This window comes from Homo sapiens, chromosome 2, assembly GCF_000001405.40.
Source record: "Homo sapiens chromosome 2, GRCh38.p14 Primary Assembly".
Taxonomy (NCBI): Eukaryota; Metazoa; Chordata; class Mammalia; order Primates; family Hominidae; genus Homo; species Homo sapiens.
This window is the reverse complement of record NC_000002.12, coordinates 60502738-60527109: the sequence shown is the minus strand read 5'-3', so window position 1 is coordinate 60527109 and position 24372 is coordinate 60502738. Positions and strand designations below refer to the sequence as shown.

The window sequence follows — 24372 nt, the reverse complement described above, 5'->3', positions numbered from 1 at the left end:
CCTTCAGGCCAAGTGCCTGGATGTGGCAAAGCTACAATAAATATCGAATGGTGAGAGCAATGGAAATTTAGCAAAGCCATAACCGGGGAGACCTCAGAGGGGCAGTGGACTGGTTAAGAGGCTGTTGGATGAGCCGGGTAGTATTTCTACTTCAACCTGATTGAAATGTCGACTAAAAATCAATGCTGTTGACTAGTGATAATTTACAACGTTCCTGGTGCTAAGTAGTTCCCCGCTTAAGAATGCGTTGGCTGGGCAGAGATTAGCGCAGGGAGTTGTGTGTGTCACAATGAATCAGACGCATTATAGGTCAGCCCTTTATTTGTTTCATCATGACTTTTACACAGTTGTCATGTAATTTATGGCTGCTTTCACGTTGTCAAACATTTTCATTGCATCTTCTTCTTTAACACCCTCCTGACATAGACACACTGCACTTGAAGGCTTGGTATTGTTTCATAATCCGAGAGGAGGCCTATAAACCATCAAATTACACTATCTTTGGGCTAATCTAAATGCGCTGCAGATTAAAATCAGAGCTCATTTGTCCCTGATGCAAATTATTAAGTTCTAATTATAAATACCCATTTAATTACCCGACACATTTTTATTTTGCGGACCCTTTTGAGCACTGCTGTCTGCGATGCAGAGGGGGTGGGGGGAGATGCATAGGAGACAATCTGCAGTAATTAATGTACACTTCCCAAATGGTAAAGGATAAACATATGCTGCTTTGTTTGTCTTATTTATTTATTGATTAGATGTATAGAGACTTTGGCGTGGGCACAATCTGAAGTTGAAATCCTTTTAAAGATGAAAACTATTTAAAAATCTTTTGGGGAAGAAAGAGCAAAATATAGCCAACCAATAGCTTTCTGCTAGAACACATCATCCCAAAATATGGGATTCTGAATTTGATCAAATCACCAGTTTCTGAATTTGATCAAATCTAGATTTTGCAGAAGTTCAGGGTGAGAGAAACCATGCCTGTTTTATATCTAGAAAGTGAAATCATTGTTATAGAAAAAACCTACTGTGGTTAGAAAAAAACCACATTCTTTTTTCCCAGCCCTGCTGCCATCCTCTACCAGAAAATAACAGTATCTGCCTGTAGTATGAAGACCTTCCAATTGAGAGCATTATGATAAACTATTTTTGATTACCAAACACGAATGAAGGAAGAAGATAACATAAAAATTAGTAAAGGCCTTCCAAGTAGACATTTACCCTTCTGTGAAAGCCATGGAGAAATTACCAAGACTGGTTTGGGGGGAGGGCATTTAAGGTCTTTTGGGCATTACAGATTTTCCAGAACCAAACTTTGACTTTTAGTGTTAACAGAGAGACACTGATCTGAAAACCAGGACACCTGGGTTCTGACCCTTATTGTATCATGCTGTGAGATTTTGGGCTCCCTTCACCTGTTAGCATTTGTTTCCTTGTCTTGTAAAGTAGGTAAAATAGATAGTTTGGACTGGGTGGGTCTCTAAGTCCCCATGATGTTCTAGCATAGTATGAACACCACTGACCAGTTTTCTCCCTGCTATTTTTTGGAATCTAGTTGCTGAATGGGGCTCACCTGCAAAGACAGCAGAATATTATTTTCTTGATTTGCCTCAAAGATGGAAGCTATGGTGGAGATTAAGGCTTGGATTCGTGATTCCCCAACAGAAAGCTTAAAGGCATCTTTCAAATTGCTGGAAGCAAAATTGAAGTGCAGTATAATGGAATGGTGATAATTCACAGAAGTTTCCAGCCTTATAAGATTTCTCCATCTTTTAATTGTTGCAAGCTGTTTTTTTTGAAAAACTCCAAAGAATGTAATGTGTATTTTCTCCAAGTTTGCTTTTTTGGGCAAATGTAACTACATCAAAATAGAAGTACGTTTTTGAAAAAGAAATAGTTGAATTCAAACAACCAGGTATTTTAAATTCAATTAACTGACTGAATTCAGTGATATTTTCCTCCTTCCTCCTCCCAAAAGCTGGTTTCTCTGTATGGACATAGCCTACATATGCTGAGTCCCTGGAGTTAGGAATTTTTGCTTGTTAAAGGCATCCGATGCAACATGTTTAGAAGAACTCTCCCTCTGTTAGTGTTGAAGACAGCATAAATTGAGGGAAAATGTTCTTTTTTTATTCATCATGTAGGTAAAAGCATATGGCCTGTTCTGGGACATGCGATCTTTGCAATCCATTTTTTAAACTTGGTGTTTACCATTGGCTTTTAGCACGGATGTTTCTGTTTTCCACACTGTCCAGCAAATACCATTTATATGTGGCATTGAATGAGATATGAAATGTTTTCAGAAGCATGCTGAAAAAGGGCATTCAAAGTTATCCTTTGGATAATGATGATCTAAAACTTTCTTTTATTATCCCATGTGCTCAGAGTAAGGGGCAAATGAATCAGTTGTGAAATATGTGTTCCTTGTAGGACACAGGCACTCTTGAGATCTATAGCTTCAATAAAAAGGTAATTTATTTAAATTACTGCCTCTTTAATTTATAATGTTTTGGGGATTTTTAATAGGCATGCTCTGTAAGGGCACTGGTAATCAGCTGTTTCTGATTTTGCATGCTCTTCTATCTCTGGTAACAAAATAAAATCTTAAAAAACAAGAAAAAAGAAAAAAAAACAAAAACAAAAACAAGGAACATAAAGTTTAGCCCTAACCCAACCCAAAAGCAAATAACAGGCCGAATGAATGGCAGCCCCCCAGAGGCTCTACTTTCCCCTTCCATTATTACCTGAAATAAAAGCATGATAACATTCATGCCAGAGATAGGTGACAAAATTATGTATTCAGACATGAAGTTTAGGATTTCATAGCCCAATGTTCTCTCTTCTCCCCCACCTCTTATTGTGTTGTGCAAATGTATCAGCCGTTGTATTGTTAATGCATGATAGGAAGCTGCCGCTAGGACAGTCTTGGCTCACTAATGCGGTCAGCTGTGTCACAATGTGATATATAGATTATATTTACCATGGCATATTTTGTTTGCGAAATGGGAGCGGATGATAAATGAAGATACCCTCCAGTTTTCACACTAGTTCCTGTGGTCCGGAGTCTCTCAAACAATAAAGCACCCCTGATAATGGAGAGGTATTTATGGGAACATAATTGACTTCAAAGTTTTAGATCTCTGGCTGAAGTTTAAGATGGGATAGTCCATTACATTAATGTCTGTGCTTAAAGCTCCTATTTGGCTTAAATAAATTATTTAGGGTTTACTGCTTAAACCTTGGTCAATTCTTGAACGTTTGGGCTAGTTAAGTAATTTTCCAGTGACTTTCTGTGCCTTGGTGATTCATTTACTTGATTGAGCTCCTGTGTGCTCGTATGATTTCTAAATGTATTTCTCAAGTTTTGCCTGGCAATGAATGATTTTGCTTACTGGAGTCTTGTGTGGTACACCTATAAAAGGCTTATTAACTCTTTTTGAAAAAAAAAAAAATCCCCAAACACATCAACACTGTCATCATAAGATAAAGCATATATACATATGCATCTATATACACACATACATATGTACATACTACATATATACATACGTATATGCATGTATGAATATATATATAGTTGTGTGCCTGTGTGTGTGTAGAAAGGGAGAGAGAGAGAATAGGAAAGTCTTTAGAATTCACCATGATTCCATCAAATCAATATAGAAGTTTTTGAAAGCTATCCATGTAGAAACCACTTTTCATCAAAATCTGACTTAAGCAAATTATCTCCATACTATTTATCTGAAAGTCTGTTGTTCACATAGCGCTGGATTGAGGATCATAGTGGCAAATTTAGGAGCAACAGTCCCAAGCAGGAATCCTGGATGGCAGGCTGTCCTTTGTGCCTCCCCTGAGTTGAGAAGACTGGTGTTTATTCTTTCTCTAGGTTGCAACACGTGTTGCCTTGAAATCTCCCTTCTTTACGGTTCTGCCATGAGTGTATTTTCTGTGACCTGCCTCTGCATCTGGTTAAATGGACTTCAGTAATCTGTACACAGTTACTTCTTACTTATTTTATATCCTGAAAGATATTAAGTCCAACAAGCTTTTACCCACAGAGTCTACAGAGAAAACGGCCAGGCAATTTTTGTTTCAATCTCTGTGTCTCTCTGGAGCACTAGTTCCAGAGGCTGATCAATAGGTTTTATTGTAGACCTCACTGTCTCTAAAAGCATTTTGACCTTATCCTGTCTAAAAATAGTATTTGCTCTTGCCTGCAGAACCTTGACCTGTGAAAACCCATTTGGAACATAACTGACATATCTAGTCAGCTGTATATCCAAGACATGCTCTGTGAATGAATTCTGTGCAGAACCGTCCAGGAGAACACTTTCTTCCAAGACAAATGAATTCCAGTTCTGAACACTGGGAGTGCACCTGCTTGTCGGATGTGGTGATGGGCCACATGGTGGGGAGTGAGGGAGACTCAGGGCCTGTGGGGCAGTCGATGTGGGAGGACTGTCACAGAGACTCTCAGAGGGTGCATTCAGCCCTGAACAGGGCAAAGGACTGCAAGGGGCAGGAGCTTGGGCTGACATGCAAGGTGGCTTTACACAAGGCCCTTTTTAGAGAGTGTGATTCTCTGAAGCTTTTCTTGGCAGCTTCAGTCTTGAACCTCACTGGAAGGGATCCTCCAAAACATGACCCAGATGGAAAGAAGTATTTCTGAGTTTAAAATAACTCCCCTATTTGGTAATACGGGACTTTATTTGTGACTTTATTATTTTTAGGTGTGATAATGGTTTTGCAGTTGTATTTAAAAGAAAAAAAACGAGTTCCTATGTTTAAAAAATACATACAGAGGTGTTTACTGATGAAATGATATGACGTCTGGGATCAACTTAAATAATAAAATGGGCTAGGGAGGCGATAGGGTTACAGAAGACAAGAATGACTGTGAGCTGTGGTGGTTGGAGCTGGAAGATGTGGACTTGGGGACTGATTTATAACATTCTCTCTACTTTTGTAGTATTTGAGATTTTTCCAGAAAATAAAGGTATTGCCTGACTGGTGGAGAGCAGTATGGCCTTGTTTAGTCGGTGTTGTTTCTTCACCAAGGGTTTGGCTCAGAGGTAGCAAGGGGACAAGTGTCCTATGGGCAAGAAAGTACCTGTGAGCTCAAGTCTTGTATCTGGGAAGTTCATTGTGAAGGGGTCATTTAAGGGTCTGTACTGTGCACTGTCCCCCATTCTCCTGGAAGAACAGAGATCCCTTGTCTTTTTCAGTGCATGAGGCAGAGTCAGATGTGGCGTTTGCTTGAGTTTCAGCACAGGTGCCTCTGTGCCTCGTGGTGAGGGTCAGGAAGAAGCAGCTGGGACGTGCTCACGTGGCTGGTAGTGTTATGAAGACAAGGCTTTGGGACCTTTCTTTGGCCATTTGAGCCCTGGCTATTAGAGAAAGATGATTTGCCTGAGAGGAGATTGACCACACTCTCAGAAAGAAGGGGACAAAGAACACGTCAAGGGTTAAGCAGCCTTCCCTTTAAGGGAGGACTGGGGCACAAGATGGAAGATGAAAGGGAGCAGAGTGGCAATTGCAGAGCTGGAAAGGGGAATTTTGTTCTTCTAGATAGCAAAAGCCAGGACTGTCGCTGTGTGACTTGAAAGCTAGGTCACTGGTGGGCTTCGTGCAGCCCGTCACAGGGGAGCCATGGTGGGCCTCGTCTCTGCCGTATCTGCTGCCTGGAAGCTGAGACTGGCCTAACCACATCACACCATTCCCAGACCCAGGCCCAGGCCCAGGCCCGGGTCCCTCTGGTTTTACAAAATGTCCGCTCTCTCTCGCTTCACACAGAGGCTATTATTAGCAAGTGTCACTCAGTTATCTGAGAGTGGCGCTTTTAGCTGCCATCTAAGTGCCTGATACTTGGGTTTACAGCAGATTAAATTAAATTTTAGGCTGGTTTGGCTTCACTGGCAGTAGACAATGGAAGGCAGCTGTTGTAGAAATGTAACCTGGCACCCTCAAGGATTTGTGTGAGTGTGTGTGTGTGTGTGTGTGTGAGTGTGTGTGTGTGTGTGTGTGTGTGTGTGTGTGCTGACCACTAGGCTACACTTCCTTTTCCTTTCCTCTCCATTTCATCCCTTTCCAAAAAGTGTTTAGACAAATAGTTTCCCAGACTTGGTTTTATCATGCTGGGTTGACAAAGGTTGTGTACAGAGCTGGAATAATTTTTTCTTCTTTCTACTGTTGGCACATCAATATCTTTTTTTCTGCAAAGAAGGGGCTAAGCTTGCACGAAAACACCGGTGGGAACCCACTGGAGAAGGGCATGGGTGGTTTTTGGTTCGGTTGGTGGCTGATCTGATGGGTGGTATAGGCAGAATGTCTGGCTGCCCCTTCAGATTCCTGTAGATTCCGTAGGCGACCAACATGGGGTGGGGGTGGGGGACTGTCTGCTCTTTTTGATGCAAATATCTTCACTCTCCTTGGTGCTTCTGTGGTTGTGCCTATGAATTTAGGACCTTATGCCTCATAGTGTTGAGTCAGAGCAAAACAGTTTACATCAAAGGCCACTTATTTAATTTTCCTCAGAAAACTCTGTGAGGATAATTTCTCCTTCTTATAAACGGAATGCGAATGTGTACACAAATGTGTACATTATCCCACCGAAGGGTGATGCTCTTTACTTTTATAATCTAGATTTTAAAAAATTTGGTGGCACTTGATTTCAGGTCCTCAGACTCCAGAATTTATACTCACTGATTAGTAATGCATTATGCAAATAATTCAGTTTACATATCCAAATACTGTTTTGCATCATTCACACCTCATGTCTTGAAAAAAAAAGTGAAATGTTTCCTCAAAATAAACAAAACCTGCAGAAGAGTTTATTGTAAGGGTGAAAATTAAAGAGGAACCCATTTGCCTGGGAACTTTTGAGGAAAATTTTAATACTCCTGCATAAATAATTTTGCAATTATTTTTGATTCCTACCTAATCAATATACCTTGCCACGCAAGGTATATTCTATTATCTTTGGCTTTCTGAATTTTTCAATTTTCAGAAAAAGAAGCCATAATACTATATCATACACACATTTGTGCATAAATACACAGGCATAAATGAAAATTTAGGCCGAATTATTTGAAGAGGATACAATAATTGCTTGCCAGTGACATGATTCTCCTGCCAGAGAGAGGGGAGAATAACTAGGTGCAAACTTTTAACACTCCAAGTCTAGAGAGAATTATCCAAGCATAGCCATGAATTCCTGAGTTATGGATTGGCAAATGACAATGCCTATGAAAACGATCTCTTTGTCTTCACTGAGTTTTCTTTGTCATTGGAGTAATTTAGGAGAATACAGGATGTGACTGGGAGCCCTTTCTGAATAAGCACAGTCCCATGCCCACGTGAATTCCTAAACCAGTGGCTCCCAGCTGCATGTGTCAGAACAGAACTGGCCTCAGAAATCTACAAGATTCCAGTGGTTCCAGCCTCACTTTCTCCAGTGGTCAACTTACTGCTGTTGCAAAGCACGTCAGATTTCAGGAGCGATTTCTCTTGTAAGGAAAGAAGGCAGGCAGGCAGGCAGGCAGGCAGGCAGGCAGGCAGGCAGGCAAGTGAGGACCTTATTTTTTCTCTGCAGCATGAGTGCAGTCACCTTTTTCCTACGATGTTCCACACCCATCTCTCCTTACAGGTTATAGACACATTTTTGGCACTGCATAAAGTAAGCGTTCCAACATGTTTTTAATCTTTAACTTTCACATCATTAAAAAGCTGATGTACTGACTTTCAGCTGCCTGGAGATAGTTCAGGGCCCAGCACCTGACAGGTGTAATGTTCTGTGTTTTATGTCTCTCAATATGGAGGTTATAGAATCAAAAAGACCGCAAAATGCCTTAAAGGTGTTGATACCCATAGACAGAGCATGCATAGTCCTCAGGTTCCCTTTCTTGCCCCGCTTTCACACCTATTTCTTTTTTTGTAGCGCCTGTATTTGAAAGGGGTTCCTGGTGTACTTGGGAGAAAAGAAGCTTCTTGGTTTGGTAGTACCTACCAGAGACTCCCTGTTTCCTGCTGGTATCAGGATTGAAAAATCCCACTTCTGTCCATTTTCTCTCAAGAGTTGAGAGATGTGTGCCATCGCTCTTTAAAAGAAGGAACTCTCCTTTTGCTGTGGATTGTAGGGAGCAGATTTGGTGCTTACTGTGGCTTCAGGACCCACCTTGAATGACAGAATGTCAGTAACAAGCAGCCCCAGGAAATACGGCTGGTGGTGAACGACTGCCTCTTGATCTTTGCCCATCGAGCAACACCATGTGGATGGTGTCCATCCAGCTTGACCTGAACTTGAACAGTAATTGATGAGTCCTTAAAATCCACGCCCGGCCCCCAGGAATGCCTTGGGGCACCCCATCCCACGTTCTGATTCTGGATGGACTTTTAAGTGAACTCTGATGATGAGTAGGCTCTTAAAACTCTTTCTCAACGTTCTCTGCTGGGTTTGTGTGTCACCTCCCATGCCCTCTCTGGTGTGTGGTGATTCTCAGATCTAGAGCAATGCTTCCTGCCTTGTCCCCCCATGCCTTTGCGTGTGGGAAGCTAAAATTCACATGTGCGATGCCCTCCCATGTGCCATTTTTACCTGGTCCCTTCTGCTCACTCTTTATTCATATTTAAATGCAGGTGAGTTGGAATGTCATCTTACAGGCATAATCCTGAATCTGCTCTATCGCAGACATTTTAAAACTAAATTAAATGTTAGTACTAAGTAGTAGCCAAATTCTCTGAGTCTGCTTCATGACAGGCTGTAACACACTGGTATGGAACGGTAGGTCTAATCCTGTGACTCCTTTATCTATGATGTTTTATGTATTATGAGAGCTCAGCAGATGTTGACAGAGGGAATGAGACAAGATGATTTTAGGTCTAGGTTTGATAGATAAAAAACTGGGCCAAATTTTATATTTTCTTTGAAAAGATAGCTAAATCTCAGCAATTATTTTATTTTATTTATTAAGCTTTTTGTAGAGACAGGGTTTTGCTATGTTGCCCAGGCTGGTCTTGAACTCCTAGCTTCAAGCAATCTTCCCTCTGTGGCCTTCCAAATTTCTGAGATTATAGGCATAAGCAAATGCCTCTGGCCTTCAAGTAATTAATTTAAAGTCTTTTAAAAATTTTCTCTCCTCCCCTAAAATTGGGTTTTAGAGTAAGGTTCTTGTTCCTCTAGTCGACAAGAGTTTCTGAGGAATCATAGAAGAAAGCACAGCTCTTTGAGCATAGATAGTTTCCTTCGTGGAAAGCCAAAGTGAATACTTATTGAGCATCTTCTATGTAGACATAGACTTGTGAAGTCATATCATTAACCCTGTCATTTTACAGATGAGAAAGGTTGAGGCTAAGAGGGGAGTGAGTGCCAGAGTCTACTTGCTAGGCAGTGGTAGACTTGGCCCAGAGCCTGGGGCTTCCCACTTTCATTCCTGGCTGACTGTACCAATCGCACATGGCCTCTCCATGGCCAGCAGGAGCCAGAGGTGGCCCGCATGTGCTTTGCAGAGGAACTTGCACCCACGCTTTTATCGGTGATGGCTGGAATGCTTTTCTTAACTGGAGCTTTGTTGAAGAGCCTGGTGCTTTTGTGGCAGTGCTAACCTGGGGAGCCCATGGTAAAACCCAAGCAACAAAACCACCACCCAATCACCTGTGCTGTTGCAGAGAATGGTCCTTTGCCCTTTCTTCTTGCCTTGTTCCTTTCCCTGTTTTCTCTGCCCTTTTTCGGGGCTGGTCTTCCTACCACCTTTCCTGCTAGGGCTCCCAAAGTGTGGCCCTTCTGGGGTTTACATGGTGTGCCCAGGGAATAGCTTGGCTTTTTTATTCAGATAACTGGAGATAATGGAGTAGATGGAGTTGGGGTGGTGAAGGAACGTGTACCCTCTCAGGGGCAGATGGCCCTCCAGAATTGGCCAGCCCAACCTCTTCCTCACCACCCTAGTTCTATTTTTAAAGACACCTCTCAATCGCAGGAAATCCTTCCTTTTGTCTACCTTCGATCCCTTATGCTTCATTTTAAACCCATTTCCTCTTCATTCCAGAGACGACAAAGTATCTCATCACCAGCTTTGGGCTGAAATGCTTCATATTTTACATTCTTCATTCCATTCTCCGCCACTTCTTCTTCCTAAATAATCTCTTTCCTGAACCTGAACTCATGGATCTATTATCTTGTAACCCATTTATTGTTTCTATGCCTCTCTTTAGAATCTGCTGGTTTTCCAGCTCTTTTACTCAAACATTAGTCTGATAACTACAGAGTCCAATGGCAAGATATCTTAGTGTTTTCCACATTCTTTAGTCTTATGTCTGCACTCTTATGTCCTGCTTGCTTTTTTAAAAACCAGTGCTTCATTGATGACTCATGCTCAGCTTGGTGTCCACTAGGAATGCTAGATCTTTGTCAGCCATCTTTGAGGGCAGTTAAACTTTCACTCCCAGTTGTCCTGATGCCACATTTCTCCCATCCCAGGTGCCCCTCTCTGTCCTTGTCCATATTGAGCTTAGCTCTCCACTCCTGACACGAGTTCCCTGACTTCCTCTCCACTTCCCCGGATGACGGTGAGTTACGATCTTGTCTCCTAAGGTGCCCCCTCCCTCTTGGCTCCTCTCCCAGTGACGACTTCATGGAGGCTGAGAAATATAGTGAGTGGCCTTTCTTGCCTCACTTACTGCTCGGTAAGTTAGCTCAGGGGGAGAGCTGTTCATAACTTTGCACTGACATCTGGAGAACAAAGGTTTTGGAAGAGCGGAGCCCAGATTCCCTGTGAGCCAGCAGAGCCAAGTCTTTTTTGAGTTTCCAGCAAAACCTGTGTTTTAATAATAGGAGTGGGTCATTGTGTTTAATAGTACAACAAAACCTAAGTGCACATAATAAGCACATCTTTTCTGTGTGCTGGGGTGAGGAGAGGTGACAGTGAGTGTGTAGGATGATATGAAAAGCATTACAGACATGGGAAAGCATCTTAGAGCACCCAAAGCTGGCATGAGTCATCACAGGCTTATGGCCACAAGGCTAGATTTTCAATCCCTGCTTCCCTTTTTCATAACCCAGTTCAATGAAGACATAATTGAAGTGGTGAGAAGAGGGGCCACCGCCCTTCAGACTCCAGGGTATTTGTATTCCAGGACCCCTCCGTGGGTGTTGGCCCAGCGGTGCCCAGAGAATATTCCCTTATTGGATCTTTCTCGAATTGACTTGTTCACTTCCTGTTCAGCGCAGCCTGGTGGTGACTCGGTAATCCCCACAGTAAGACCTCACAGTGGGTTGAGTGGCCTGGGAGCTCAAGTCAGGGGCAGAAATGGGGAAGCTGGAAAGTTGGGTGATCAAGAGTCATTTGGAAGCCCCCATGTCTGTGTCAGTCCACTCACATCTCTGTCCGCCACCCACCACCACTTTCTCCCTGCCTGAAAGCACTGGGCTGTGTTTCAGAGAGGTAGCTGGGTCCCACAGATATTTATGGAGGGCTTGTTTCTGTATCTCCTTCTAGTGGGCTGGACCTCCCCAGGCCATTTTTCTAGGTAACTAGGAAGGCCTGACTCTGTCAGCAACTTGGCTTTCTTTGGAGGAGGTGTCACTCTGGGATTAGTTAAAAGGGGATCAGTGGTATTCACATTGGCTCGTGGGTGTATTTTCTCCTCCTCAAATTATAACCTTTTGGAGGGCAGGAGTCATGTTTTATTTTTTGTGCCTTCTTGGTGCCTAACATAATGCTGGTTCATATGTAGTATTTAATCTGTACTTTGCTCACGCTGCTTGATTGAACAGAGAAAGACCGGGCTTTGAATGGATCCCCAGCTCCCTGTCCAGGGAAGGTGTGAGGCTGGGCAAGTTTATTTCCCCCTTCCTCCCTGGGGAGAAAGTGAAAAAGTGAAAGTGCTGGGGTTGGGATAGCTGGTGGTGTCTTTGTGGCTTTCACCCCATGGTCAAGCAGTGAACTCTGCTTGCAGATTCTGTCTCGCTCACCTGGAAGCCAGTGTTGGGGAAGGAGCACGTGGGGGAGGATCCTTAGGTCTGGGCAACACTTTGGAGTTAGGGGGTCCCCTGGAGGTGTGGGAAGCTGGTAGTGGCATTCTGGAAACAAGCTAGAGCCTGTCTCACCAGAGGGAGAACGGCTGAGTTCGGAAGGGACTGGGGCCTGCTTTCCTTTGGGTGGCTTTGACTGGCTCTTGGATGAGTTTAAAAGGTGATTCTCTCTCTCTCTCTGTCTCTCTTTTCTTTTTTTTTTTTTCTTTTTTCTGTTTTAGTGTATGTGTATGCAAGACCTTTGATATTTGAGTAGGGAAATCCTCTCTTATCAATGGAATTCACAGCCTCTTATGGTGCCTTACCCTTTCATTGTGTTGTAAAGACAGTCAGACCAACTAGATTTATTTGCACAACTCTGATTTTTTTCCTAAGAAACTCCCCCACCCAATTTAATTTTTTTTTTTTTTTGAGATGGAGTCTCGCTCTGTCGCCCAGGCTGGAGTGCAGTGCTACGATCTCGGCTCATTGCAGCCTCCGCCTCCCAGGTTCAAGTGATTCTCCTGCCTCAGCCTCCCAAGTAGCTGGGATTATAGGTGCATGCCATCACACCTGGCTGATTTTTTTTTTTTTTTTTTTTTTTAAGTAGAGATGGGGTTTCACCATGTTGGCTAGGCTGGTCTTGAACTCCTGACCTCAGGTGACCCACACGCCTCGGCCTCCCAAAATGCTGAGATTACAGGTGTGAGCCACCGCACCTGGCTATTTAATTCTATTTTCAGATGGCTTGTTCTCCAAGTCTTGGGACTGCCCAGAAATGGGTTGCCTGGTAGGGCTCATGGCTCAGCACTGCGATCCCACCAGTGGCCGGGGTGTTCCTTAGCCTTCTAGTTCAGTTGTGGCCCTTCTGGGCTTCCTTTGCTACCAGTTTCCACCACATGGCTGGAGGTAGCCCAGCCTGGAAGCCTCTCAGAGCTCCAGCCTGGAAGCCTCTCAGAGAGTGCTTGGAGCACTGCTAGCTGCACGTGCTCTCAGGAAAGTCCACAAGGAGATGGCTGGTGTGGCTCAGAGTCCTTGTGTGCTGCCTCAGCCCATGCCAGGCCACCTGTGGCTGTCTGCCCTCAAGTCTGTCCTTCTCTGAGGATTTAGGACTGTGAACCTAGAGAATTCAAAGTAGTGGAACTAGAATCCAGGTCTCGACTCAATCCAGGGAGTTTTGCTCACCACAAGCCAGGAACAGCTTCTCTTCATGGAGGTGCCTGTCTGGAAGGCAGAGAATCTCTGGCTTGTTGAGAAGAGAGAGTCTGCCCTTCAGACTGCAAGGTGTTCACTGCATAGGACCCTTCGTAGGTGCTGACCCAGCTGTGCCCAGTGCTAGAGCTAGGACTCAGTTCTATTTTCCCAGAGAGTGGTGTGATGGGAGGCTATTTCTTTTTCTTTTTTCAGTCCTGATCAGGGATGAGTCCGTGCTGTTGGGTTTATTCATTTACTTTAGCGTGTGAGTGGGGAGATGGATTAGGCAGCAGGCCCTTGGAAGGGTGGGAAGATTCAGAAGAGAGAGGGCAGGACTGGGAAGATCCAGACAGGACATGAAGATTTGCTCCACAAAGAGAGAAGCAGCAGGAGTTCTGGCTAGAGGCTAACCCAACACCCACACCTGCCAAAGGGGTTCCCATGGGGTGGCTGGCTTGAGGGGATCTGGGCGCTGGTTTCTGCTGTGGACAGCCTCAAGTGGGGCGTGGAGGCAGCATCTCCAGAAGCACCCGGCAGATGGCTCCTGAGGGAGCAGGGACTCCTTCTAGTGCCACTCCTGGGACTAAATTCCTTGTCCCCTCCTTGTCTCATATTTAGCATCTTGGAGCCGTGTCAGCTGCAGAGACTGGAGTCCGGGGCATGATGGGGATGTACCTGAAACCTAGTGAGAGTCATCCTGACTCTGGGGAAGAGCCGCTCAAAGATGAGAAAGATAAAGTAATTTGCCACCCCCAACCCCTCACAGGCTAGACTATCCATGGATTTCAGTGGGGTGGTGAGTCCTCATGATCCCTGAACCTCTCCTCAAATGGTGACTGTTCTGGGGGTCCTTTCTCTGCCTTTCTCAGGGGGTAACCAGAGGTGGTGGTGTGGTCCACTGTGACTCGTCAGCTGTTGCTCTGTGTGTTCATTTTTGAGAAAATGTTAATCTCTGAGACGTCTAAGAGGTGAAACTCCTTTCTCTGTGTCTCCTCCAAATGGATGCCATGTGGGTGGGCAAAGTGGTTGGGTTTATTCATTTACTTTAGGTGTGTATTGTAGTAAAACCTGCTTGTTCTCCTATCCGTCATCAGAGGTGACTCATACTTGAGACACTAAAAGAGAATAAACTGTCTTCATAAGGCTGTGAACGTCGCCAGATTATGAACCAACTTCAAGTAACGTAGGGATGCCTTGATAATTATATTATTGAAACCATCTCCAATTAGATATGCAAAATGGAGTTGCTGGGGGCTTCAGTTTTCTTTAGACCAAATAATTTAGAGCTGAGAGGAGAGGCAGATACCATCTAGTCTCACTTTTTACAATTTAGCATTGGATTTGTTGAGCATGTACTCTCTGCAGAGCATTGTGATAGGTTCTGGGTTGGGAGGGGAGCCGGGAAGGCAAGCATCCTCTCTCAAAGCTGCCTTTCTCATTTGAGAGGCGAGTGTGTGTGGCACAGGGGCAGGTAGAAGGAGACAGATCCTTTATACCTGAGAGCAAGATGTGCAGCCAGGAAAGCTCAAGGACACAGGCCAAGGGAGGTGAAGTGACTTGCCCAGGCCACCCAGTTACCTAGCACAGCTCAGCCACAAGCCCAAATGAATGATTCTGAGTTCCACATCAGCGCATCGGGCAGCCACCATGAGCAGTTCCACAGTGACAGGTGGGGCTCTAGGTGGCTTCCTTTAAAACATCTGAGGAAAGCAGGCTTCCTCTCTGACTGCTCTCCAGGGGTGGTGAGCACAGGGGTTCATCTGCAGCTCCCCAGCTCCAGTGCTCCTTAGCCTTCCAAGTTGTTTGAATTAAGTTGCAAGCCCAGGTGGCTGCACACATATTCATTTTGGAGTGACTGTGACACTTGTATTTCCTGGGAAGCGTTACTATGTCTTTGGCCGAGCAAGTATTACGCCATGAGCTGGTTCCCTTTCTTTTGCCTTTGAACACCTACATTGCTGGGAGGATACCTTAGTGAGAGTGCCTGGGCCACTGGGCGTAGCAGAGGAAGCACCTCATCATTTTACTGATTTATTTGAAAGAAAAAAGCTCCCTCCAACCCTTGCCTTCATAGAAACAGAGTGTTGAAAGCTTGGAGAAGAATTAATGACTCCCCTGCCCCTTAGTGTCTTACATGACTAGCTGCTTCTTTGCCTACTGCATTTTCAACTTATTTCAACTTATTTTCTGTGGCTTGGAAAATACGTTGACTGAGTGATGATTGTTTTCATGAAATGGTGCAACATGTAAAGCAATGGTTGTCATTAATAGTGCAGTTATGTAGAGTGTAGCTCTTTGAGTCTTCAGTTTTGAATCAGATTAGCGCTCTGTTAACTTAAAATAGCCCCAAAAAAGAAGAAGGAAAAAAAAAGAACTGTCAGAAATCAGAGGGAAATATTAGCATTATGAAACATGGTAACAAGTGGCCATTAGCACTTTATGTCTGCATGAATAGCATCTTTAAGTGTTTTATTGGTAACGGAAAAGAGTGGAGTCACATAGAATGACATTACTTCCCAAATTGGCGAGTTCTTTTAATTCAGACTTCTCCTTGTTATTGCCTACTGGGGAGCACTTATTCACCTGTCAAATTGTATGCTAGGGTGGGAAAGGGTATTTTAGCTTTTCTGGCTGCATCCCGGGCTCTCAGGTAGAAGGGATTTGTCCCTTTGCCATGGCCTCCTTCTCTCCTGCCCTCCCCAGTGCCCCTGCCAGGAGGAGGGAGAATCTGAAAGCAAGAATGGAGGGAGAGTAATGCCGTGGAGGCAGCTGGGATTTGTGCCTGGCCAGTGCCCCTGCACAGTATTGGATATGAGTATGGGCATCTCAGTGTGCCTGGAAACGCAGTTGGCTGCACAGCCCCAGTGGGAAGAACTCTGAGGAACTGCTGGTGGTTGGCTCTTCCCCAGGCTCTCAGCCCCTCTTTCTAGAGGCTCCACCTAAGCCTTAGGAAAGACTTTCGTTTGGTTTTAACTGGCTCCTGTCAAGGGTTCCCCCAAACCAGCTCAACCCCTCCATTTACATTATAATGCAAAAGCTCTTCCCTGTGGGTCTCAGGGCCTGTGGGGAAAATGGAATCTGGCTCAAACCCAAGATCCAAAGCTAAAGTGCCCCCAGGTTGGGCTGCCTGACAGTTTTATAGATATGGCATTGAGTGGCCTCCTGGCAGTTTGGAATTGTGAAGGTTCACTCATTCATTTTTCAACAAATATTTTGAACACCTGCCACATGCTGGGAACGGTTCTTGGTGTTGGGCATAGAAAGCCTTAAAAACTCCCTGCTCTTGTGGCACCCCCTTTCTAGCTGGGGAGAGACAGAAGATGCACCAATAAATATGTGAATTATATAGTATGGCAAGAGAAGATCAAACTGCCTGCACGAAAATAAGGTGGGGAAGAGGGGTAAGGGGTGCATGGTGACCAGGCTTTTAAATAGGATAATTAGGGAAGGCCCAATGAGAAGCAAAGGCTCCAAAGAGGTGAGGAAGTTGGCCATGAGAATTTTGAGAAGATGGTTCCAGGAAGAGTGTGTAGAGAGCAGAGACCTTGTGTGTAATACGCCTGGCTACTGGAGGAGGAGCAAGGGGCCCTGAGGTCAGAGTGGAAAGAGTGCAGGAGGAGGAGGAGAGGAGACCAGCTGGCTCCTTGAAGGACGTAGAGCAGGGATTTTTGGCTCTGACTCCAAGGGAGATGGAAGCCACTGGAGGAGTGATGTCATATGACTTGCGCTTCCAGAGAGTCTCTTGGGCCGCATTTTGAGACTCAAGCATGGGAAAGTGAGGCAGAAGCAGTCAGAAGGCAAATTTTAGGCAAGTGATGGTGGCGTGGACCAGGGTGGTGGGGACGTGAGAAGGGGCTGGATTCTGGACATACTTCGAAGGGAAAACCGGCAGGATTTGCTGACTGGTGGGATGGGTTGTATGAAAGGAAGGGAGGAGTCAAGATGGACCCCAAAATGTGTGGCTCGGTGACTGGGAGAATAGAATTGCTGTTTATTGGGATGGGCCAGAAAGGCTGTGGAGGTGCTCAGAGGATGGGTGTGTCTGGGGCTCCTTCACCACTTCAGGACTTCAGTGGATGCTAGACTACTGCCCTGTTCAGGAAGATCGTGAGGGGAAAGAGAGTAGCCCCCCGATTGTGGCTGTTCGGAGAGCCCCAGTTGACTGCCTATAGCTGAGATGATTTAAGTCGAGTTCTTTGGGGAGGGCCAGGTGTTTTTCTCCTCCTCCTAATCTTTTTGTTCTTTTTCCTTCTCTGTTGTTCTTTAGCTACCAAAGACAACTTGATCTTTTGATCCAGAAAGATGCGCTTTGTTTCTTGCATTTCTTTCCCTTCGTTTGTTTTCTCAGGTCTCAGGTAGACCATCGAGCTGCTGTTAATTGGTGATATTTAGGAATGGGTTGGAAGCTGCATCTTTTCCTGGACTTCTCAGGACTCTCACTGCCACGTGTCTTGTGCTTCCACAGAACCGTTTTCTGAGACGTCCGTGTGGCTCTGCTGTGCTCAGGTCCACGGTTAGCCCCTGGCTTGGAATTTCTTCCGGAAATCCGTTGTCCTCTTTTCCACAGGTTCTCCTCCTCCCTTTCCCCATTTCTGGAAAGAAGTGGGCTGGCACATAGAGCCTTTTTCCTTGAAAGGAGAGTGCAGAGCCCTCTAATGGAAAAGTAAAAAAATTCTTGGAATCCTCATAACATCCAAGCCAGCCAAAGCTGAGACCAAGTAAATTATTGGGGGGTAATTTGCAAGGGCCTGAATCAAACAAATTGCTTTCTTGTTTCTCAGCTTGAATCTTTAGACCAGAAGCCTGTGATTTCGGAGTCTGATGAGAAATAAGAGTCAGTGTTTCTGTCTGAGCCACTTTTCTTTGGAGGAGGTCCTCTAGGCTTTAGCAATCACAGAAGAACCAGTGACAGGTTCCTTGTCATAGGAGAGCTCCTTGGTCCTCAGGATTCAAAAGACACCTTAAGTAGCAGTGGGTAGGGCGTAAGTTTAACATCCCTCAAGGTAGGCCTTAGGTTTCCCTCTGTCCCCTCTATGGTGCTGGCTTTGCCACATGTAGAACAAACTCTTCTGGAATCATAGGTAACCCAAGGGGGAGCTCAGAGAAGAGTCCAGGCTGCCAGTGCAAAGGTCCAGCCCTGTCGCCAAGGAGACCCTCAGGGAAATGCACAGGCCTCCAGCTATTCCCACGGCCCCTGTAGCTGAGCGCCAGCTTCTTCCTGGGCCAAGCTGAGGCTGTTTCCTGCCGTGTCCATTCTCCTAGCAACGCTTCTCTTTGGCCAGTTTGCCATAGTACCTGAGGTAAGTTTTGTCCTTTGCCTGCCAAATGCTTTACATCCCGGAGGAAAGCAAAGTCCTCTTCAGAACAGGAAAAGTCCAGTGCAGTTCCACACTGTGCTATTCCAGAACCTCCCAGTTGCATTCCTTTGCCAACTAGGTAATGTGCTAGGGATATTTGTCTCGCAGCAACTGGCAACCCCCTGTTTGGGTAAAAGTCAGACTCAGGGACCCGGCTGCAGTGCTTGCTCCTGTGGCCCCTGCAGGGAGTGTGGCCTGGGGTGTAATTCTGCACACCCAGGAAGCTTCTCTGTCTCCTCTTTCACATCAGGCCTTCCCTGTGTCCTGAACCAAGTGTGGATGAGTTTGAGCTTCCTCCTAGTTTTTATTTGTGTAATTTGTTGTTGTTGTTGTTGTTTGGGGGTGGGGGTAGACAGTGCTGGGCCTGTCAGAATTTTAGGTTGGTTCTTTGAGATGAATAACTACTTAGCTGTTGCTCAACTACTTTTGTTTGTGAAAGAAAGGGCAGTAAGCACCATGACATGAGAGAATTTCAGGTTTATTGTGATTTCTTTTTTGTGTTTGCATCTGTCGTGCTCAGTTAGGGCATTATCCGTAACCCCATAGGAACCAACACCGAAGACCATATGATTTTAAAGCTTTAGAAATCTGCGTGTGTAATATGTCTTTTGTGAATTTTTTTTTGTTCTTTTGCTTTAGAAACTGTAATAATAATCCATAGTAATTATCCCATAGTATGCTGTCCTTTGTTACAGGAGCATTGGATTACTGTGAAGACGTGTCCTGTATACAGTTTCAACAGCTTGTTTTTACTTCTTCCCTTCTCCCCGCACCCGTCGCCCCCCACCCCACCCGCTTTCTGTCTTGTGCTGTTTGGAAGACAATTTCCACATTTCTGCCATATGTCTTAGAAAAGCTGGGGACTTAGAAGCAGTAGCCGACTTAGGACAGCAAGCTCAGCTCAGGTGCGGAGGCAGCCCTGTGTAAGAGACTCTGTTATGCAGTGAGCTGTTGAAACAGCTGCATGTGGAAACAGTTCTTCCCCTTGCCTGTCCTCATTTCTTGAGAGACTCCAAAACATCTGAAAATGTAAAAGCACTTCACAAGGTTTTAACTTTTCTGGCTTGAACGGAAGCAGCTTCAAGTCAACAAGAGCACAATAGTCTTTGTAGGTTTTGGACACAGTTTTCTAGCTTTTCAAGAAAGGCAAGGGCCCTCCTTCCCTCCCTCCCTTCCCTTCCCTTCCCTTCCCTTCCCTTCCCTTCCCTTCCCTTCCCTTCCCTTCCCTTCCCCTCCCCTCCCCTCCCCTCCCCTCCCCTCCCCTCCCCTCCCCTCCCCTCCCCTCCCCTCCCCTCCCCTCCCCTCCCTCCCTCCCTTCCTTCCTTCCTTCCTTCCTTCCTTTCTTCCTTGTCTTGCTTTGCATTCTGCAGAGCTAGAAGAGCATTTAATCCTTGGCCCTCTGTCTGTTGGGATATTATGTTTTTTTAATAGTGCTTGTTTATGACTAAGGTCAAAGACAGTATTTCAGAACAAAAATTAGAGTTAGTTCATAATTGAGTACATATGTACGTTACTGTTTATTTTTATAGTTTGCTAATTTATTTTTAAACAGCTCAGTTACGCCAACATGTTTATAGCTCTGTTCATCACATGCCTTACCAGTCAGGGTGTTAAAAGGCACATGCTTTTCAATAGTTTGGATCCCAAGTTAAATTAGATAATGCCATCAGGTAGCAATTTAATTACATTAATTGAATGTTTAGGCGGAAAGGTAGTTTTGCAGAGGCTATAATGAAATCACATTTATAAGTACCCATGTATAAATCTCAGCATTATAGACATTATTTGAGGTTGCTGACAGAAAAATGGATATATATCAGGCGTTTAGGAGGAAACATGCGGGGGGCTGTCATCAGTGGTAAATGCTGCCTTCGCCATTTAGGAGACTGCTGGGCACGGTCGTTTTCTTAGTGAGCTGCCTTTATCATTAGCCCTCTAAGCAGCCATGCACAAAGGCACGTGGGTGCTGTGTTTTGTATAGCCAGGGCTTTCCTGGACTCAGCATGCCAGCTGGGGCCGGCTCACTGAGGCTGGAAAAATGAGATACAGTCTAGTGAGGTCTTTGTCACCTTGGAGGGTCTGAGGACTGGTGCGCTCGGGTTGACCCATGTGGCGTCCTGAGCCAGCTCTGTCCTGGATCTGAGGAACACTGTCTGAAGTTTTCCAGGGGTTTGACAGACCAGAATGGGGGCCGCTGGCAGGGCCTGGTGGCATTAGATGTGGCAAGTCAGACCACAGCTGGCCTGTGAAGGTGACTCTTCCTCTGATGCAGAGAGAATTAAATGAGGAGGCCAGAGCCCTAGCTGCTGCCTCCCCTCCATGCCCTCAGAGAAAGTGGGAGTGCTGGCATTTGGCTAACAGGACAGGCTATTTTGGGCCCAGGTGTTCTTTCTGACCTCTCTGTGATTTCTATGGTGGGTGTCAAAGGATGGCTGGGAAAGGGGATTTTTAGGTGTGCTAACATCCCTTGCCTATGAGTGATTCACTATCTTCTCGCACCATCTGGTTTCACCCGGGCTGCAAAGCCTAGTGTGGTGTCCCATACCCTGCAAAGCCCTATTTGGGTTATTTACCAAATGCCACCATGCCATCTCCACAGCATCTGGCAGACGAACCAGGTGGGGCTGCTATTGCTTCTGGGTATTTACGGGATGCAGATTTTTCTGCCCACCGTTGTTTTGGGAGGGATTTCCCCCTCCCTCAGGTAGAGTTGTTCTCAGAGATATCTGTAATTGGCCCTTCCCATTTAAGAGTCAGCCACGAATGATTTATTCTAAAATGATAGACCCAGGTAGAGAGGTTACCCACCCTCCGTCACAGAGTGGCCAGCTGTGTCCCCTGCTTCCGGGAGGTGGGAATGCATGTGGAGGGGTCGTTATTTCCTAACTCTCTTGCTCTGGCAGCCTGAAGAGCTGTCTGTGCCCTGAACAACAGCTTAGGGAGCTGGAGGAAAGAGAAGGAGGTATGCATTTGAGGGAGAGAGGCCCACTGGGTTGGACAAGAAGGTAAAAGAGGGCTGGTTTGGCCCCTAAGGGAAGGACAGGAAAGCACCCGCTTGTTCCCTGTGTGGATGCAGTGTTTGTCCAGCTGAAGGCAGCCTCACTCGGCTGACTACCTGATGAGTGATTTTCCCCAAGCTGACAGCTGCTCCAACACATTTCACCTACAAGTCCTGACAAAGTGGTGTGTTCTTTTGGGGCTGTTATTACTGCAGCAGGCATTTGGAACAATCTGGAAGAATGGGGTGCCAAAGGACACCCTTGAAGCCGTTTCTGAGTATCCGTCCCTTCTTTTCTCTCCGATCCTCTAGCTTTTTTGGCTTATGAAAAATTGGGCCCATCCCTTTCGAATGTCCATTGTGCTGTTAGTAATGAGGATACGGATAAAATCACATTTTTTTTTTGAGTAAGCCCTTTGAGGAGTATTGTCAAATTGAGACTCACCTCATGAGTAACCCTGTGAAGAGGCAGGAGAAAGGGTAGTTGAAGCTTAGAGAGGTTAAATGGCAGGTCTGGTCTCATGCAGCCGCAGGGGTAGACTAGGGATTCTGATCCAGAACTCCTTATACTTCTGGGTCCACCCCACGCTTCCACAGCCTGCACACAGGGTAGGGAAGTTGTGGCTTGCAGAAGGCTGTTTTTTTGGGGGGACGCTCTGTTTTAATAGTTTGGAGCAAGGAAGCTAGTGGTGGGCGCTCACTGGTAGGGGAGGCATGTGATAGGAATCAGTTTGATCTTTTAAGCATTTTCAGGGACAGATATGTACCTGATATTCCACCTCTCTATATAATTTCAAGACTTGATTGGCATTGTCCCTAAGCACCAGTAGAAAGCTTGAAGAAGCTTCTCAGTAAATACATCAGCTGTATTTCCAGGTGAGCAGTACCTGCTGAAATGCTGAGAGAACGTTCTGACTAGGAGGGCTTGGGGGAGACAGAGACAGAGTTGGCTGTTTCAGCAGACTCATTCTGCTATTTGCTTTTTGCCTTGGAGATTATTTTTTCTGGGTGTCCCGATGCTGAGCTCCCACTTCAAGAAGAACATTGGTATAAATTTACAAACCAGAAGTAGTCAGAGGTTGACTTTTTTGTTCTGTTATTCCTTCTTTGGGAGAGCAGGCTGGCCAGGAGGAAGGTTCAAGTGTGTCATATCCTAGCATTCAGATAGGTGGCCTCCTCTGCCTTTTCAGTGGGTGGCTGGGCTGGGTGAAATCTTGCAGTGACTAAGAAAGGAAGGGTGGACCCAGGCAGACCCAGAAGGTACTGCATCTTCATCATTGATCCTGCATGCGTGCCGGTAGGCAGCAGTTCTGGAATTGCTGGGGAAACCACAGTGCAGCATGAGCCCTGGGGCCTGCTCTCTTGTGCCCGGCTGAGCATCTCTGTTCTGTTTGGGGAGTCCTGCCAGGCAAGTGTGAGTCAAAGAGGAGACCAGGGCCCTATGTCATGGGGGCAGTGTCGGCTGAGTGGTACTCTTCAGAGTTCTCAGAATGTGCCGCTCGAAGCCATGTAGGCTTCCAGCAGGCTTCTAGCAGATGGGGTTTTGGCTGGGTTGGGCCTTAATACTCAGTGTCTTTCATTCCCTCTCTGCCCCCTCGTTCCTTTCCTGCATTTCTTGCTTTCTTTTTTTTCTAGAATCAACGAAGCAGCCAATAACCAATTTTCAGGAGGTTTAGATGAATGTGAATTGCTGTTTAATATAAAAATTTTATTAAAATAATAAAGCTCTGACAAAAGATCCAGAATATTGTCCCTTGCAGTGGGCTTTAGGGTTGCATCTTGGCTCCTAAATCTTCTAGGCGGGTTAAATTAGTCCTCACAAAATGTCACATTTCCCTGGCAGCTATAGGTTTCCAGGAGGGTGAACAAGGGCCATCTGGGTGTTTGCTGAGGGCTTCTCAGTCCTGGGTAGGAACTGCTGGGTGTGGAAACCACCAAGGCTTTGTAAGCCTGAAAGAGCCACTGGTATTGGGAGCTTGGTCTGCACTCAGACCTGAGCGCCACACATTATTTTCCCAGATTTGGGCAATCTAATGGATAGGAGGGAGGGTTATGCCCCATCTGTGAATAGGTGGAGGAGAGGGTCCAGAGAAAATTGTTGCAGTGCTCAGAGGAAGCAATAGCCTACTGTCTTCCAGGGACATGTCTGGCTCCTGGAATGCCTGTCCAGGCTGCGGTGGGTGGCATGGGTAAGGGTTTTTAATAAAAAGTCACAATGCCTGGAGAAGTGAGGCTCCTTGCAGCCACCTGCCTTTTCTGTCTTGGGTCTCCTGGTTGGACCCCATTCTGGCTTTCCACCTGGTCAGAGCCTCCTGAGGCTGCAGAATGGGGCTAACATGATCAAGGGTGATGTGGCTTCTCCATCTTGGGACTAGGAGTGACCAGGTTTAGAGAAGGTGGACTCATTCCTGCTCCCATTGCCAGGACAAATGCAGAGTGGATCTGGGTCTGTCCCTTCCACACAGACACCTTCATTTCAACACATTCCGTGTGTATTAAGATGACAGACACGTTGGTTTTGCTCCAAGCCAGTAGCCATCCCCCTAGACAGCCCAGGCCTTAAAAGACAAGGAGGTGTTTGGACAAGAGCAAGAAAGAAGTCTGGCTGTGTCTTCTGGGAGCCCCAGACAGACCAGTGTTCTTTCTCACTGGTTCACTCCTTCCCCAGCTCATTTTACCCACTCGAGACTTGATTCTCTTAGAGATTAAGTACCTCCCCTGGTCACATAGTTTCTGGGTGACAGGACTAGAATTTATTTCTTTTGATCACCAATTGAGTGCTCTTTCTGCTCTACTGTGCTACCATGATCAGA

General features: G+C 45.6%; 1 protein-coding gene across 37 annotated transcripts in view, besides 3 other annotated features; it reads left to right on the top strand.

Annotated features, from left to right (window-relative positions):
- BCL11A (BCL11 transcription factor A) overlaps positions 1-24372 on the top strand; it is a 103405-nt gene that overhangs the window by 26815 nt on the left and 52218 nt on the right. For 3 of the 37 annotated variants that reach the window (NM_001405731.1, NM_001405726.1, NM_001405725.1), the window contains exon 3: positions 18286-18504. The exons of 32 other annotated variants lie outside the window; for them this stretch is intronic. Coding sequence is in view for 2 of the 5 variants with exons in the window: in NM_001405721.1 (NP_001392650.1) it covers positions 10632-10683 (52 nt within the window). In the remaining 3 variants the exon portion in view is untranslated. Of the gene's footprint in view, positions 1-10591; positions 10684-18285; positions 18505-24372 lie in introns of all 37 variants that reach the window. 2 more of the 37 variants (NM_001405721.1, NM_001405720.1) reach the window with 1 other exon arrangement.
- Positions 11193-11312: an enhancer, noted in NCBI's record as "active region_15812". NCBI's record gives its function as "activates an Ori minimal core promoter by ATAC-STARR-seq in GM12878 lymphoblastoid cells {active_cell/tissue: GM12878}" and the evidence as "EXISTENCE:reporter gene assay evidence [ECO:0000049][PMID:35858748]".
- Positions 11423-11552: an enhancer, noted in NCBI's record as "active region_15811". NCBI's record gives its function as "activates an Ori minimal core promoter by ATAC-STARR-seq in GM12878 lymphoblastoid cells {active_cell/tissue: GM12878}" and the evidence as "EXISTENCE:reporter gene assay evidence [ECO:0000049][PMID:35858748]".
- Positions 13809-13918: an enhancer, noted in NCBI's record as "active region_15810". NCBI's record gives its function as "activates an Ori minimal core promoter by ATAC-STARR-seq in GM12878 lymphoblastoid cells {active_cell/tissue: GM12878}" and the evidence as "EXISTENCE:reporter gene assay evidence [ECO:0000049][PMID:35858748]".